The sequence below is a fragment of the Homo sapiens genome, chromosome 9 (assembly GCF_000001405.40).
Source record: "Homo sapiens chromosome 9, GRCh38.p14 Primary Assembly".
In the NCBI taxonomy this organism is placed as follows: domain Eukaryota; kingdom Metazoa; phylum Chordata; class Mammalia; order Primates; family Hominidae; genus Homo; species Homo sapiens.
The window spans coordinates 20679514-20696248 of NC_000009.12; the positions used below are offsets into that span (position 1 = coordinate 20679514).

At 41.1% G+C, this 16735-nt stretch overlaps 1 protein-coding gene and 1 long non-coding RNA gene across 18 annotated transcripts in view, besides 3 other annotated features; one reads left to right on the forward strand and one right to left on the reverse strand.

The window, feature by feature from the left end:
• Positions 1–16735, forward strand: part of FOCAD (focadhesin) — a 340326-nt gene that overhangs the window by 23889 nt on the left and 299702 nt on the right. For 5 of the 17 annotated variants that reach the window (XM_017014856.2, NM_001375567.1, NM_001375568.1 and 2 more), the window contains exon 1: positions 4746–4780. The exons of 3 other annotated variants lie outside the window; for them this stretch is intronic. Coding sequence is in view for 7 of the 14 variants with exons in the window: in XM_047423532.1 (XP_047279488.1) it covers positions 14919–15051 (133 nt within the window). In the remaining 7 variants the exon portion in view is untranslated. Of the gene's footprint in view, positions 1–4745; positions 5610–5708; positions 15052–16735 lie in introns of those variants that run through there. 9 more of the 17 variants (XM_047423532.1, XM_047423535.1, XM_047423534.1 and 6 more) reach the window with 6 other exon arrangements.
• On the reverse strand, positions 3789–5237 carry FOCAD-AS1 (FOCAD antisense RNA 1). The gene is made up of 2 exons (NR_121601.1): positions 5055–5237; positions 3789–4028 (listed from the first exon to the last, which is right to left on the reverse strand). It is a non-coding gene; the product is annotated as an FOCAD antisense RNA 1 (long non-coding RNA).
• Positions 4349–5048: a silencer, noted in NCBI's record as "silent region_19802". NCBI's record gives its function as "represses an Ori minimal core promoter by ATAC-STARR-seq in GM12878 lymphoblastoid cells {active_cell/tissue: GM12878}" and the evidence as "EXISTENCE:reporter gene assay evidence [ECO:0000049][PMID:35858748]".
• Positions 4349–5188: a biological region, named in NCBI's record as "H3K27ac hESC enhancer GRCh37_chr9:20683960-20684700".
• Positions 4448–5188: an enhancer, noted in NCBI's record as "H3K27ac hESC enhancer chr9:20683960-20684700 (GRCh37/hg19 assembly coordinates)". NCBI's record gives its function as "activates a minimal SCP1, AML or CMV promoter by ChIP-STARR-seq in naive H9 embryonic stem cells {active_cell/tissue: H9 hESC(naive)}" and the evidence as "EXISTENCE:reporter gene assay evidence [ECO:0000049][PMID:30033119]".

Sequence of the window (16735 nt, forward strand, 5' to 3'; positions counted from 1 at the left end):
TTGTTAGCATATTCTTTTCAGCTCTGTTAATGACTTGGGAGTGGGCACATTTTTCTTACTCTCTTTTTTTTTGTTGTTGTTAAAGTCAGTAGGCCCTTCTACACTGACTTCAAAATGTGTGCTTATCTAAAGGGTCTTATACAATAGAGAACTGCTTAACTACTTCAGTGGAAATAATACAAGGAGTTGAACAGAAATACTATCTGCCTGCCTACCTCTTAAAGACGGTAGTTTGTCTTAAATATTTAAAAGGCAGAGTTTTGCATGTACAATGTCTAGAAAATACAGATTTGAAAGGTGTTTTAATCCTTCAAGTGAAATTTGCGTCTGAGCTGGGCCTTCTGGAATTAAGTCTAGCGCACCCTCCACAGGTTACATGAATAAAGGTGATTCTCTTGTAACCCCTATGAAGGACCACCCTCTCTCTGCTGTTTCTCAGAAATATTCCTCAGGCTGAAAGTCAGTGAACCAGCTGTAGAGAGCTACAAACATCTGCATCAGATGTAGGTTCGCCCAACTAAGTTAAACTGATCTTTCCTAAGTTATAGCTCAATCAAAATTTAACTATAAATTGTAGCTACATTCCTTCAGGCTCCATTCTTTGCTTTCAGCTCAGAAGGAAAGTAAGCTATTTAGTTAACGTGATTAATTAGGCAGGCAGAATCTTTTTCCTCCTGGCTAAGAATATAGGTGGACTATTAGAACCTGTTCTAATGTTTTTTGTCCGGCCTTCACCTTAATTTCTTTTACAATTTGTTGTTATTGTCCGGGTGCGATGGCTCATGCCTGTAATCCCAGCACTTTGGGAGGCTGAGGTGAGCCCACCACGAGGTCAAGAGATAGAGACCATCCTGGCCCACATGGTGTAACCCCGTCTCTACCAAAAATACAAAAATTAGCTGGGCATGGTGGCGCACGCCTGTAGTCCCAGCTACTTGGGAGGCTGAGGCAGGAGAATTGCTTGAACCCAGGAGGTGGAGGTTGCAAGCTGAGATTGCGTCATTGCACTCCAGCCTGGCAACAGAGCAAGACTCTGTCTCAAAAAAAAATTTAAATTTTAAAAATTTATATCCCAGTGCATAAAGCAAGCTATTCAATAGGTATGCAGTAGAAAGAGGATAGGACTAGGAGTCAGGGAACCAGGGTTTTAGTCCTTCTAAAACATATTAGCAGCTAGCCATGGTGGCTTACACCTATAATCCCAGCATTTTGGGAGGCCGAGGCGGGAGGATAACTTGAGGCCAGGAGTTCAAGACCAGCCTGGACAGCATAGTGAGACTTCATTTCTATATATACATTTATTTATTAGAATGTAGTAGTAGAATATATGTGTATGTTAGCCGAACACTGTGGTGTGTGCCTGCAGACCCAGCTACTTGGAAAGCTGAGGTGGGAGGATTGCTTGAGCTCAGGAGGTGAGGCTGCAGTGAGCTATGATCGTGTCACTGTACCCCAGCTTGTGTGACAAAGTAAGATCCTGCCTCAAACCAAAACAAAGCCAAAAACAAAAAACAGCCCTGCCCAACCACAGCCCCCCACAAAAAGCAATTAGTCATATGACATTGAAGAATTGAAGATGAACCTGTATCCTTTTAGAATTTTAGTTCCCTTCTGTGTAATTGGCTTGATTAGATTAAATCAGTGAAGCGTAAAAAAATTTTGAGTTCCAACATAAGACTTTAAGCTTACTAAAATAAAATTCCCAACAAGTATAACCTATTATCATTTCATATGAGAAAACTTCTATTTTCTTTTTTTAATAGAGATGGGGCGGGGGCCCTCACTGTTGCCCTGGATGGTCTTGAACTCCTGGCCTCAAGTTATCCTCCCACTTGGCCTCCCAAAGTGCTGGGATTATAGGTGTGAGCCATCATGCCCGGCCTGAGAGGGTACTTTTAACATTAAAACAAAACAAAAGAACAAAGCATAATCTCAGGAAAAGGACAGTCCTTTAAATTGAATAAATTTATTTTTATGAAAACTTAATACATTGTCCATATTTTTTAACTTCAGAATTTGTCAGAGAAAACTTTGTCATGAACTGGCAACTTCTGAGATCCTTTCTAGTTCTAAAAGCCTATCTCTCTAGTCTTGTCAAAATAAATCTGGTGGCTGCTGACTTGGTCTCCAGAATGAGCTGGCTCCATAAGGCTCTAGAATACGTCTTTCATCTTGGTATCTCCTGTGCCTACCACAGTGCCTGGTATAGCATTAGATTAAATAAATTAAAAGGTGAAATGATCCCTGCTGAATTGCAGTTCCTGTATGGAAGGAGTATACCCCAGAAGGAGGGGGTGAGCCCATGGACTTCCAGCTTAACCCTAGATCTGCAGTAAAAGCAGTCAAATCGGTTCTAGGCTCCAAGTTTAATGGTCAAGTTTCTCAATCCTGCCCAAAATCTGAATCTAGGATAGGTGTCTGCTGTGGCCTACATGTTTGTGTCCCCCAAAGTTAATGTGTTGAAGCCTAAACTCCAATGCAACAGGATTAAGAGGTGGGGCCATTGGGAGGTGATTAGGTTATGAGGACTCCTGTCGTGCCCTTATAAAAGACGCTTCAGGTAATCTATTTCCCCTTCTATCCTGTGATGATACACAGAAGGCACCATCCATGAGGAATGGAACCTCACCATATTCCAAATCTGCTGGCACCTTGCTTGGACTTCCCGGCTTGCAGAACTGTGAACAATAAATTTTTATTGTTTATAAATTACCCAGTCTAAGATACTTTGTTATAGCAGCCTGAACATAATAAGACGGTGTCAAAAGTAGACTCAATATCATTCTTTAAATGGGCATTTCCCTGTGTGTTCCTAAAACCAGGCTTTCTACAACAGAGGCAGTACGTTTACTCATTGAGCACCAGGGTGCTTGGATTCAAGTTTTGGCCTGGCCATTAGGTAGGTGCATGACCTTGGTCAAGATGCTTCACTTGCTGTACTTCAGGTTCCTTATTTATAAAATGTGGGTAATAACTGTAACTGCCTCATAAAGTTGTTCTGTGGATTAAATAAATTTATATACTTAGAACAGCGCTGTTTACAGAGTTATGTGTTTAATTATAATTTTGACTAATGAGCCTCAAGAAATATAGGAATAGAAGAAAAAATATTAAAATAGTCCTAAAAGAAATACTGGTGCATTTGGAAGACTGAAAGAGAGTATCATCAAAGTCCATAAAAAGGGAATTATAAGCCTTATAAAACTCCTTTGAAGCAAAGGATAACAGAGGTTGAATAACTTTAAGTAGGTTCAATATTGATTGATTGAATGATTGATTGTGACAGTCTCACTCCATCAGAGGCTGGAGTGCAGTGGCGCCACCTCGGCTCACTGCAACCTCCGCCTCCCGGGTTCAAGCGATTCTCCTGCCTCAGCCTCCTGAGTAGAGTAGCCGTGACTGCAGGCGCGCAACCCCACGCCGGGCTAATTTTTGTATGTTTTTTTTAGTAGAGATGGGGTTTCACCACGTTGCCTAGGCTGGTCTTGAACTCCGCCCTCCTCGGCCTCCCAAAGTGCTGGGATTACAGGTGTGAGCCCCCCCACCTGGCCCCAAGATTAATTTAGATAAATTCTTAGAGGGTGAATGCATAGTTGGTTATTGGGAAAACTGTTAACGGTCTGTGATACATAATTACTTTTCTGAGGTGATGGGGAACCAAATTCTTCCTACAAATGAGAAACAGAACTTCTTGTCTACACATTAAAATGACTTTGGAAACTTAGAAAAATATCAATGTCAAGATCTGGCAGCAGACCTTTTTCAACCAAGTGATGAGGCCCAGGCACTTGTTTTTTTATTTTTATTTTTTCCTAAGGGTGCCCCAGGGTTTAGAAACAACTAAGTCAGATATTTTTAGAGTAATTTGTCTTAACTCTTTCATCTTGCGTAAAATTTCCATTCTGTCATCCACAACCGGAATTCCACTCCGTCATACCAGTCTCTCCTCGTTTTTTTCTGCTGGCTCTTTTCAGCGTGTTTCATCGTGGCTGCTGTCTGTCTGTTACAGCCTTCTCACGTGGGAGCCCCTGCCCCGCCCCACGAGAAAATACATGTTTATCATTCAGTAAGTATTGCGCAAAATCGTAACAGAATAATTACTCGCGCCAATTCCCCCCAGATTAGATCAGCAGAAACACTTGGGCTAGAACTACCTCAGGACTATCTAACAAGTGGATATACCACAGTGGCGTGGAGAGCTGCAGTGTTATGTGTTGGCCAAATGAAGTAAAGACACCAAGTAGCTATTAGGCGAAGAACGAAGCGTCTTCGCGGCAAGTCGGCTGTCTGCTTTAAATTTTCTGAATCCTTAATGTTATCAGTATTATTTATTTCCCCCGAGAAACAAAATCTCCAAATACCAAGAAGCTGTTCTGTATTGCCAAAAGCTGCATAGGGGCAGGCTGCCAACAGGACTACCCGGGCACGCTGCAGTGGCATCTCTAGGCAGTTTCCTTTAATCTGATTTTCCTTGGGCTAACTCCTCACTGCGGTGCTGCTCCACAGCCAGCCCCCGCGCGCAGCCCTCCCCGCACCAGCTCGGCTGCAGAGCGCGGGTCCGCCGCCCACGCCGCCTTTCAACCGCAGTGCGCGGCCCGGGCCTTAGACGCGCGTGCGCGCGAGCCGGGGAGGGCGGGCCCCAGCCGGAGGAGGCGGAACAGGGCCTCGCGATATGCAGCCCATTGGCTCTCTCCTGCAGTCCCCGCCCCCGGGCGTTCGAGGCGGCGGGGCGGGCCACGTCAGGCAGCCGGCGCTGGGCTGAGCTTGTGGCAGAAGGGAGGTAAGCCGTGCGGGGCGGCGGGCTGCCACCGCTGCACCCCTGCTCGGGAGCCGCCGGGTCGCGCCGCCTGCGGCCCGGTCGGCTTGCATGGAGGGCGGCTGAGGCCCTGCGGGGCTGGGGCTGAGCTGGGAGACGGGGCAGTGGAGCATGTGGCGGCAGGGCCGCGTCGCGGCGAGGGGCAGCCGGGAGGGGGCTTTTTGCCCTCGTCCGGTCCTGCTGGGGCTCTCAGCTTCTGGAGGACTAGGCCTTCTGAGGTTACGGAGCTCCGAGATACCTGGGCAGGGCTGGCTGTGGTGACTGCGGTGGGACTTAGTGGGATCTCGACTCGGAAGCCGGTCGGCGCGATCCTTGCATACTTAGCTGCAGCAGGTTGCAGTCGTCCCACTCTCCTTCGACCGGTTCCCTAGTTGGGGGCAGAGCAGGAGATTCTGGCCGCGTCCTGCCTGGCCTGGGGTGACTGTCTCCTTCTCATTCCCGGTGACTCACTCAGATCATGTCCACTTATAATGCAAAGGCTTATGGGTGAGCAGGGCCTGTTTTCAGTCTCCTAGTTCTCTGGCTCCGTCCGCACTTGCGGCAATTACTTGAAGAAAGAGTATGTTAGATGTATGTTTTGAAATTTTCGCAGCAGCTAACGCGTGGAGACGTGCAGTTATGTTGCATTTACCCTTCATGAGTTTTAGTTTCAGCTGTGGCGTCCTGATATCTCAGTGTGGTTCCTGAATTTGGAGCTTTTGAAATGAATGAAATCCTGCCAATTTCATGCAGTCATTCATTCATACATTCCAAACTTTTTTGATGGATGCCTTAATGGTCAGCCTCATACCAGGTATTAAAATCGGCATTTCCTGCGTTTTATTCCAGTTTATATGTTAGTTTTATTGTCTAGATTTGAGTTGGAAATTTTTTTTTTTTTTGTTATTTTCAGGTTCTAGTATCCCTGAAACCATCGTGGCTCTGAGGGTGTAATCCTGATAACTGTATCAGTAATGACTCCAGGTTTCAGTGGCCTATCTGTAAGAAGAGGAATGGGATTAGTATAATTTTGAGATTTTCCAGGAGAGGAGGGTAGATGGCATGTTTCCTGAACTGTGTTAACAGGAAGTAACTATTTTAAAAACACAGGATGCATTTTATGATTATGTTTTACTGTGTCAACGAACATTGTATCTGTCCACATTCACTTTTTGACTACCAAGCAAGTGCATGTTTACAATTTTGATTCACATCCAATTCCTGCGTAGAAAGCACTGTGACTCATCTGAATTTTGAAATGAAGTAATCATGAGCTTTTTAATGTTACATACAAAGGTATGATATTGAAACAATTGCATAAAAATGCAATTTTCAAAGCATTTTCACTTGCTTTTATAGATTAGTGGAAGCTAAAACCTCTGCCTTGATTATTTGCTTACTTAATCAATGTTAGGTAGTTACCATCTCTTGGCTAATGTTTATCAATATTATATCTATTTTAACATTTGTTTCATTAACCCCAAATTTACTGGATTTTAACTGATTGTTGTCTCCAGTTGACGCCTGATAACCAAAAGGTTATCAGGAGGAGCTGGAGGAGGCGGAACACAGCCTCGCGCCCTGTAATAAATAGTTTGAAATCAAAATTTTCATGGACGTATAACCAGAGTTTTTCATTTGTTGATTGATTGATGGTGCTTACCGGTAAATCGTTTGGCCTTTTTCCCCGTTTAAAATGATTTATGAAACAGTCTGAGACATAATATTCTTAGCTTCATGATACTTTTGGGATATTGTCCACAAGTGATTAGTTGAATTAAATTGTTAATATCACTATTAGGAGTTTGGAAAATTTAAGAAAATATAACTTCTTAAAATTTTGCATTTGCTATTTTTTTGTTTGTTTGGAGACAGGGTCACTCTGTCGCCCAGGCTGGAGTGCAGTGCTGCGATCTCGGCTCACTGCAACCTCCGCCTCCCAGGTTCAAGTGATTCTTCTGCCTCAGCCTCCTAAGTAGCTGGGATTACAGGCGCATGCCACCACACCCAGCTAATTTTTGTATTTTTAGTAGAGACGGAGTTTCACCATGTTGGCCAGGCTGGTCTCGAAATCCTGACCTCAAGTGATCCCTCCGCGTTGGTGTTACATCTTTCAGTTCTAGAAATGGACCTGATCAAGATTGCAAGGTTAATGGGGAAAATTCAAGAGCTGAGGACATTAACCTTCTAGCGGGAAAAAACCACAATGAGAAATAATAACTATATTTGGAGGAAGTGTAAGGAAATAATAGTTTAAGGATTATTAGTCTATAACAAATCTTGATCTTAATCAGTATTTCTTGATGTATAACAAAGAACTTGGTTTAAGCACAAAAAGAAAATTAGGGTGATAATTTAAATTTTGATCAAGTGGGTAGTAAGTATTTCTTTAGGAGATGAGAAATCTATAGATCTAGAGATGCATGGTATAATAAAGTATGGTATACTTATATGAGTATAAGTCTGTGATTCACAATTAGTAATAGATTGATGGAGGTTTTGTTACTATTTCCACATGATAAGAAACAAGATTTGCTAAGCTGATAGGACAAGGGATATTTGTGAATTTCCTCCATGTAAATGATTTGAAACAACAAAGTTTTAAGTGATGTGGAAGAGCCCATCTATTTTCAAACAATGGATTGAAATGTAGTTTTTGTAACCCTCTAAGTACTTCTGGCCTCATAGTTTTTTTTTTTTTTCCCCCTACTCAGGTCATATTGAAAGTAATAAAATTGTGTTTATGATTTTAAAAGTTTATATTGGCTTTCATTTAATTAGTCTGAGTTACTTTAGTTTTATATATTTTGAAGATGTTCCAAAACCCTTGACTTTAAATACTGTATAGCTTTCCATTGTTCATGAAAGAAAACATTTCTTTAGGCCAAAGGAAATTGAGAATCCAACTTGCATAGATAGTCAGTTTATTACTATTATTTAAAGATTTATCTTTTTACTTGCCCGGGGACCAATGAAGCATCCACTGAAGCTCCTAAACTGGAGAAGGTATCTTCTAATCTCCTTTTGGTCAGATGAGTTCTTGCTAATTTGGCTGATACATATGTTGAACAAATGTAATACAGTAATTGTGGGTGTTGTAACTGTAGTTTTATGAAGTTTTTTTGGTTGCCAGGGTGTATCTTTCCCTTCTCTCTTGACAAACCTTTCTATTTGGCCTACCTGCTTTCATAATTTATTCTTAAGTTCTACTCTATTTCCCAATCATTGCACATGTTGGTTTATGTAACCAAACCTGATTTTAGTATATGCTATTAGGACATACACGTGGAGAAGAATGGAGGAAACTTTTTATTAAATGTTTTTAATTGTTGAAACACTTAAGTAAATGTGATTTTTAAAGACTCATAGTTATTAAAGGTATTGTATTCATTATTTTTTATTTATTCCTTCATTCAGCAAAGACAGCAACTACTTTGGTGCTAGGTCCTTAACTTATCTTTAAGGAACTTACAGTATTGCATGGACTTCATAAACAACACCAAAATACAATGGGATAAACATTATAATTAGTCGTTCACATAGTATAGTGGGGGATAGAGAAAACTGTGTGCAAGGTTTGAGGAGATTCAGAGAAGGCTTTATGGAGGAATTTTCATCTGAATTGAAGTTTGAAAGTGAGTAGGAATTAGTTGGTGAGGTTAGAGGATAAGGCATTCTGGGCACAAGAAAGCAGTGAGGACAAATAGATAGGTTAGAAACGGGACATAGACCCTTAATGTGTTAAGATAGAGAATAGATCAACTTTAAAAAGTAAACAAGGGTAAATAATGAAAGTTCTCTTCCACACCGTGTTAGCCATTTTGAGCTTTAATCTGGAGGCTATGTTGATCCATGAGTAATAGATTTTAAGTGGAAGAAAGTTAACATCAGTTTCATGAGGCAATGTGAGGAATGAATTGTAGTGGGGTAAGGCAGACATTTGCATTACATGTGACAGAACTCCGAAAATGCAGTGCTGCTGGAGAGAAGAGGATGAATTCCAGATATATTAAGGTGATTGAGTTAGTGGCCAGATGGATGTAGGGGATGAAGGAGTGATGGAGTCAAGGATACCTCCTAGGTTTATGACTTGCCGAGATAGGAATCACATGAGCAATATCAGATGTATGGGGAGAATAAGATCAGTAGTCTTGGACATGGGTTTAGGTCACACAATTGGTGCTGTTCAGTGGGTATTTGGCTGCTTTGGCCTGGAGTTAAAGAGAGGATTCTAGGCTGGAGATAGAGATTAGGATGCTATCAATTTATAGGTAGTTAAAACAATGTGAGAATGGATGATGCCTAAGAGAGTTTGTAGAATAAGAAAGAATAAAGCAGAAGGGAAACGCTGGGAAACACTACCCTGTAGGAAAGATGACCCAGTGAAAAAGACAGAAGGAACAGCCTAATGACAGTGGATGTCTAGAAGATAAGGAGGGAGAGAATCCAACAAGAAGAGACTGGTCAGATGCCATAGGGAATAGGAGAAAGAGCTAACTACAGTTTTTGGAAGGTTTCCCAGATAGGCCTGGATCATTAATTTGTAATAATACTAGTTCATATGATTCTGTGACTTTTGGCAGCAAAATTCAGTAGAACCAGAGATGATAAATAGTTGGATTGATACAGTATTTGGATTTTGTTACGTGCGTATGGTAAGATTGCAAAGGAGTTGAAACTATTGGTGAAAGAATGGTCAGAGTGATGGAATGTGAAGTTTAGACTGGATAGGGATGACGATAGAGCCAGGAGGAGCTGAAAGATTGAGATAACATAATTGGTTCAAAGGATTAAAAGTCTGGATGAAGTAAATATACAAGTGTTTGTAGCTAAAAGGGAGATAATGAAAAGGATAGAAATCCTCTGGTCAGAGTAGAATATTGGAATTTAAGATTTTTAGGGTGCAGATGGCGTGTAGGGTTTGGCTGTGGATATAGATGGTAGAAACGGAGGTGTTCAGGAACAATGAGACTGGTGGTGCATTCGATGAATTGCTCACCCAGATGACTGTAGATGACTGTGGTACCCAGGGAGGAAGGGTAGAATGTGATCCTAATTTCCGAGGTTTAGATTGCCTATGGTGGTGATCACTATAGATGAGAGATGAAGATACTTAGATGTTATGCCCTCAAAAGTACAGCGGGTGGGGGTGGGATGGGGTAAGTGGTCTGGAAACATTCTTCTGGGCCTTGGGACTTGGAAGGATGATTAGCCTTTACTGGTGGGGGCCACCAAAGAAGGGGAGTTTAATTTCTATTAGGCCTAGGAGGTATGGGGAGCATCTAGTGAAGAGGCTGAGGATATAAGAAAGCTTATTGACTATGGTGTCAGTGTAAAAGCTTGGGAAGGAGTGAGAGAGCGAGTAAAGATTATTTAGAGGAGAAGACAGGTTAGAAAGAGCTTAGATTTGGGTATAAGGGTGACAGCGCTTCTCTGAAGCATATGGCTAGCTTTTAGTAGTTGGGACTTTAAATTTTGATGAAGCTTTCTGTTGTTAACGTTTACCCATCAAGTCATTATAGTTTCTGTCAGAGTAGGACAGTTGGCATAGTACTGTTTCTAAATTTAAAAATAACATATATGTCTCCAGTGAATATTTGTGTTATCTGTCGGAGAAAGGATGGACAGTGTGGCCTATTTGCTTTGATGTACCTTTTCCTGGTCTTTGAATTCCCAAAATACTTTTGCAAATACATTTCATCATGTGTGCCAATTCTTATCTATTGGTAGGATTAGGAAGTTATGTTGAGTATTTTTAGGTCAATTCTGGGCCCAGAGGTATAGGAAATGCCTTAATGTGAATGGCAATTGCCATGAATGTGGGAGATTGGCATACCTGCATTTACCTAAGATTGCCATCTGTTATTTTCTGACCTAGAGTCTGTTTCTAAGGACAGCGCCTCACTTATGCACTAGGTCTTATTCCTTTTACCTTCCGAAGGATTTGGCTCCAGCATCTCTCTCTCTGAACATTGCATTTCCCCTAATTACTGGATTATTCCGTTCATTATGCAAGTATGCTGGTATTTTTCCATGTTAAAATAATAGCTTTTGACCCCATTCCTGCTTAAGCCACTGTACAATTTATTTGTTACCCCTTATGGTATAACTATAATCCTGTCCAATTTCTTTCCTTCTATTCTTTCTTAAACCCACTTTAATCAGGCTTTCTCCCTCACCTCTATCAAAAAATTACTCTTACTAAAAGTAACTTTTCTGAGAAGTTACTTTTCTAAAAGTGACTTTATTTTTCATCTAGAGACAGAGTCTTGCTCTGTCGCCCTCTCTGAAGTGCAGTGGTGTGATCATAGCTCGCCACAGCCTTGAACTCCTGGGCTCAAGTGGTACTTCTGCCTTGCCTCCTGAGTAGCTAGGACTGCAGATATGTGCCACCATACCTGGCTAATTTTTCTATTTCTTGTAGCGGTGGGGGTCTTACCATGTTGCTCAGGCTGTTTTGAACTTCTGGCCTCAAGCAATCCTCCTGCCTGGGCCCAGAGTGCTGGGATTATAGGCGGAGGCACCATGCCTGGCCCTTTCATTTTCCTAAATCTAAAGGTCTGTTCCAAATTTTTACCTCTCAGTTGACCTGTCAGCATTTTTTTTTTTTTTGAGACAGCTAGTCACTCTCTGCTTCTTTATTTTTATTTTTGAGACAGAGTCTCACTCTGTCGACCAGGCTGGAGTGCAGTGGCGTGACCTCGGCTCACTGCAACCTTCATCTCTTGGGTTCAAGTGATACTTCTGCCTTAGTCTCCTGAGTAGCTGGGATTACCGGCATGTGCCACCACACCCAGCTAATTTTTGTATTTTTAGTAGAGATGGGGTTTCACCACGTTGGCCAGACTGGTCTTGAACTCCTGACCTCAAGTGATCCACCTGCCTTGGCCTCCCAAAGTGCTGGGATTACAGGTGTGAGCCATAGTGCTGGCCCAATCTCTGCTTCTTAAAGCACTTTCTTCCCTTATTAGCAAAAATACCACAATTCCTGGTTTTCCTCCTACGTCATTGTCCCTTTTTAGACTCCTTTACTGGTTCTTCCTTATCTCCCTGATAAGAGTGCTGTTAACATTGGAGTGCTTCAGGGGTCAGTCATTAGACCTTATACTTCTGGATCATATCATTCAGCCTTTAAATATTAGCATTATTATTATTTATTAATTAATTAATTTTATTTTATTATTATTTTTTGAGATGGAGTCTCGCTCTGTCCCCCAGGCTAGAGTGCAGTGGCGTCATCTCGGCTCACTGCAAGCCGCACCTCCCGGGTTCACGCCATTCTCCTGCCTCAGCCTCCTGAGTAGCTGGGACTACAGGTGCCCGCCACCATGCCCAGATAATTTTTTGTATTTTTAGTAGAGACGGGTTTCACCATGTTAGCCAGGATGGTCTCGATTTCCTAACCTCGTGATCTGCCCACTTCGGCCTCCCAAAGTGCTGGGATTATAGGCATGAGCCACCAAGCCCGGCCAATTTATTTTTTGAGATGGAGTCTCCCTCTGTCACCCAGGCTGGAGTGCACTGGCACGATCTCGGCTCACTGCAACCTCCGCCTCCCGGGTTCAAGCGATTCTCCTGCTTCAGCCTCTTGAGTAGCCGGGACTACAGGTGCGCACTACCACACCAGGCTAATTTTTTTATTTTTAGTAGAGACGTTGGCCAGGCTGATCTCGAAAAATGATCCACCCGCCTTGGCCTCCCAAAGTGCTGGGATTACAGGTGTGAGCCACGGCACCTGGCCTAAGTATTAGCTTTAAATACTAGTAATACCCTACTAGCTTCCAAATTTATATTTTCAGCCTCGCCTTCCCTTGAACTCCTGACTCCGTATATCCAGTGACTACTCAGCATTTTCTGTTTGGATGACTAATATATATTTCAAACTAAACTCTGAAATTTCCTTTTTTACCTATAATCTTTCCTATTTCAGTTAACAGAAACTCCATCCTTTTTATGAGATAGGCTAAAAACCTGAGTATCATCCTTGACTCTTCTTTATCTCACAATCTATATATATATACTGTTACTTTGGAAAGTGTGTTGGCTATACCTTCACAATGTATTTAGAATCCAAGTACTTGTCACTACCCACTGCTATCACCCTAGTCTAAGCCCCCGTTGTTTATGTCCGGATCTTGCAGTAGCCTCTATATTAGTTATCAATTGTTACCTACTCCCAACATTTTGTGGCTTAAACCAACAGTTATGTATTAGTTTGTGATTCTGTGGTTGGCAGCTTAGGTTGGACTTGGGGTAGATGTGGGGCAGCTCTTTTGCTGGTCTTGCCCGTGCTCACTCATGTAGTGATCGGCACTGGTAGGTTTGGAGGCCTCAGCTGAGATGGCTTATCTCTGCTCTACGTGGTCAGTAAACTATCTCATGTTTATGTTTCTTTACGTAGTGGTGTAATGGAAGCAAGATAACAAGAGGAAACTATGTGGCCTTTTGAGGCCGGGACTTAGAACTTCTACAGCTTCACTTTCCCTGCTGTTGGTGAGAGCAGGTCACCAGGTCAAGCCAGATGAAGGGGAGAGAAAATTAGCCTACTTTTTTTTCTGAGGGGGTGCAGCAAAGTCACTTTGTAAAGCAGTTTGTATACAGAGATTGGGAGCAATTGGAGGCCATTTTTTGCAAACTGTCCTGGCCTTCTAATGGATTGCTTCTATCTTTCCCCTTACAGTATTGTCAGAACAGCAGCCAGAGTGATTTTATAAAAACGTGAGTTAGATCTCTTCTCTGCCCCAAACTCTCCAGTGGCTTCCCGTTGCCACCCAAAGTAAAAGGCAGTCTTGGGATTGTCCTGTGAGGCTTGCCATGATCTGACCCATTTGTTGCCTCTCCAACTCCATTTACAGCCACTCTCTCTCTCTTACTTAATCTGCTCAAATGAGCCTCTGCTGTTCTTCAGACATCTGAGGCATGCTTTCACCATGGCATTGGCACTGCTACTCTTTCCGCCTAGAGTCTTCTTTTCTGAGATGACGAAACTGCTCTTTTACTCCCCTTCAGGCTACTCGAGTACTTCCTCAGCCTTTCCCTGACCATCCTTTTAAAAATAGAAACCTCTCTCTCTAATACTGTCTATCCTCCACTCTGGTTTACTTTTATCCATAGCACTTATCTTCAGAAATGCTATGTAATTTACTATTTTGCTTATTCTTGTCTTGCCTCTACTAGGAATGTAATCTATAAGGGCAGGGATTTTTCTCTGTTTTCCCAGTGCTTAGTATAGTGTCTGATACAAGGTAGGCATCTCATAAATATTTCTTAAATGGAGGAATGAAAGGTACTGCAACCTTTTTCAGGATTAGGTATCTCTTCCATTCTTTATGGAAAAGCTCTGGACCATTATCTGAGGAAATTCCTGGTCTCCTTTGCAAGTACTTTTGCAATCACTATTTATTTATTTATTTATTTATTTAGATGGAATCTTGCTCTGTTGCCCAGGCTGAAGTGCAGTGGCACAATCTTGGCTCACTGCAACCTCTGCCTCCTGGGTTCAAGTGATTCTCGTGCCTCAGCCTCCCAAGTAGATGGGATTACAGGTGCGTGCTTCCACGCCTGGTTAATTTCTGTATTTTTAGTACAGATGGCACTTCACCATGTTGGCCAGGCCAGTCTCGAACTCTTGACTTCAAGTGATCTTCCTGCCTTGGCCTCTCAAAGTGCTGGGATTGCAGGTGTGAGCCACCGTGCCCAGCTGCAATCCATTTTTTAAAAGAGGTCTTCTAGACCAAGTATTCTTCCACATCCAGACTCTAATTTATTCTTTGCAAGAAGATTATCATGTTCTCTTAACTATATGCAATACCTTTCTTGATACTTAATAGCAACCTCTTCACTTTGAGTTGTAAATCATAACATTTTTTGTACAAAGCAAAGCTGAAACAGGTGAAAGGAATAGTCTAGGGCAGAAAATTTTCAAACCTTTTCTAAGGTCTTAGACTCTCTCCACCTCCACATATCTTACTGAGAACTTCAGATAAGAGAAGTGTTTTATTATTCAAAATAAAGGTTTTATTATTCAAAATAAAGCTATTTTACATTTGAATTTATAGCATACTCTTATTATAAAGTCAATCTGAACCATGAAGCTATTATAAGGAGTGTAATATTGAAATGAATGATTATGAATAAAAATGATACTCTCTATATGTCTCAGCCTCCAATTTATTTTTGTATTGTGATTTTGTATTTTGGTTTTGTTGCAGACCATCAAGGAAATTTCCATCCACACAGATTAGCAGTTGAAAATGGTAATAATTTTTTTTAACAGTTCACATTGCAATCTTGCAATCTCTAGTTACTTTTTTAAAATTTTCTTTTATTTTTAAAAATGTCTTACTAAAACATACACAGATTAATAGGGAATATAGTAAATGAACTTAATTTCAACAACATCAACATTTTGTCAATCTTGTTTTTCTCTCTAACATTTTTTCTTCCCTAGTAATTGTCTTTAATTAATAAGGACTTCTTAAAGTACTATTACTAGGCCATTCATTAACAACCCTAACAAAATTAATACCAATTCCTAAATATTATCCAATACAGTCCATATTTCAGAATTTCTCAGTTGGGCCAAGATTGTCTTAGTAGAATTGGTTTTTTGAAATCAGAATCATGTAAGTTTCCCAAATATAATATAATTTGGTTACTATGTCTGTTTAGTCACTTATTCTGTACAATCCCTCCACTCCTTTTTTCCCATGTCATTGATTTGTTGGAGAAACCGAGTACTTTGTCCTGTAAAGTGTCCCAGATTCTGGACTTGATCTATTGCTCTGCAAGTGGTATTGTCCTGGAAGAGGTACCTTGTTCCTGTATCTCATATATTTCTTGTAAATTGGTAATTAAATATAGAGAGTTGTGTATATTAGTGGCAAATTTTTTTTTAGGTAAGAGTATTTTTACAGAAGCCTGTGTATGTCCTATTCCATCACCCATGAGGATACAATGTGTGGTATTCTTACTTTTAGTGATGCTAAGATGAATCAATGGATTCAAGTGGGATCATCCTGATCCCTCTAATATAAAGTTCCCTATCTTCCTTTAACTTAATATTTTTAGCCACAGTTGATGATTCATTCACAAATCAAAGTATTTATTAACAAAGTAACTTCATATTGGTAAAGATTTTTCTTAAGCCCGTAAACATGCTTTCATTTTTTCTTTCCTCACGTTTCTTTTTACAATACAATCAGTTTTTTCCCTGTCCCCTCATCCTACATTTATACACGTACACAGTCTTCAGTACATGTTGAACATTTGACATAAAGCTTGTAAAGAGATATGAAATGGAATGGACAACAAAGGAAGGCGAGGTAGGGAAGTAAGGATTATCCACCCATCTACCTACTAACTTACCTGTCTCCTCTCCTTCTCTGTATCTTACTGGTTTCAGTTTATAATATTTTAAAAGCTATGTGGGATAAGTATGGCTTAGAGGGCTACTGAGGCCTTACAGGGATTGGAAATTGGATAGGACCTGGGCAGGTGTTGACTGCAGCATTGGTATTAGGTATGAATTGAATATAAATCCAATCTGCAGCTAAGCACACACATTTTAACATTTGTTGTGTATAGTCAAGATTGGCCCCAAATAAAATTGAGAAGCAAATGAAGCTTATACAGTCTGCATGTGGCATCCTTTTATCATATAGCTTTTTTTAGCTGATATGGACAAAAGTAAATTGAGCTTCCAAGAATTTAGGAGACTCATGCATTGCTGCATTGTTTTAGAAATGGATAAATGATTTCGACTTCTGCATCTTAGTGTATGACTGCTTTGTTCTTTCAGTTATCTGAACCCCAAACTTTGGAGTCATCCTTCACTCTTCCCACATTTCATGTCTAATCCATTAGCAAATCTTACCAAATATTTCTGAAATACTTGTAACTGCAGGCATGTATCCTTTGACCAAATGGAGACCTAATGTA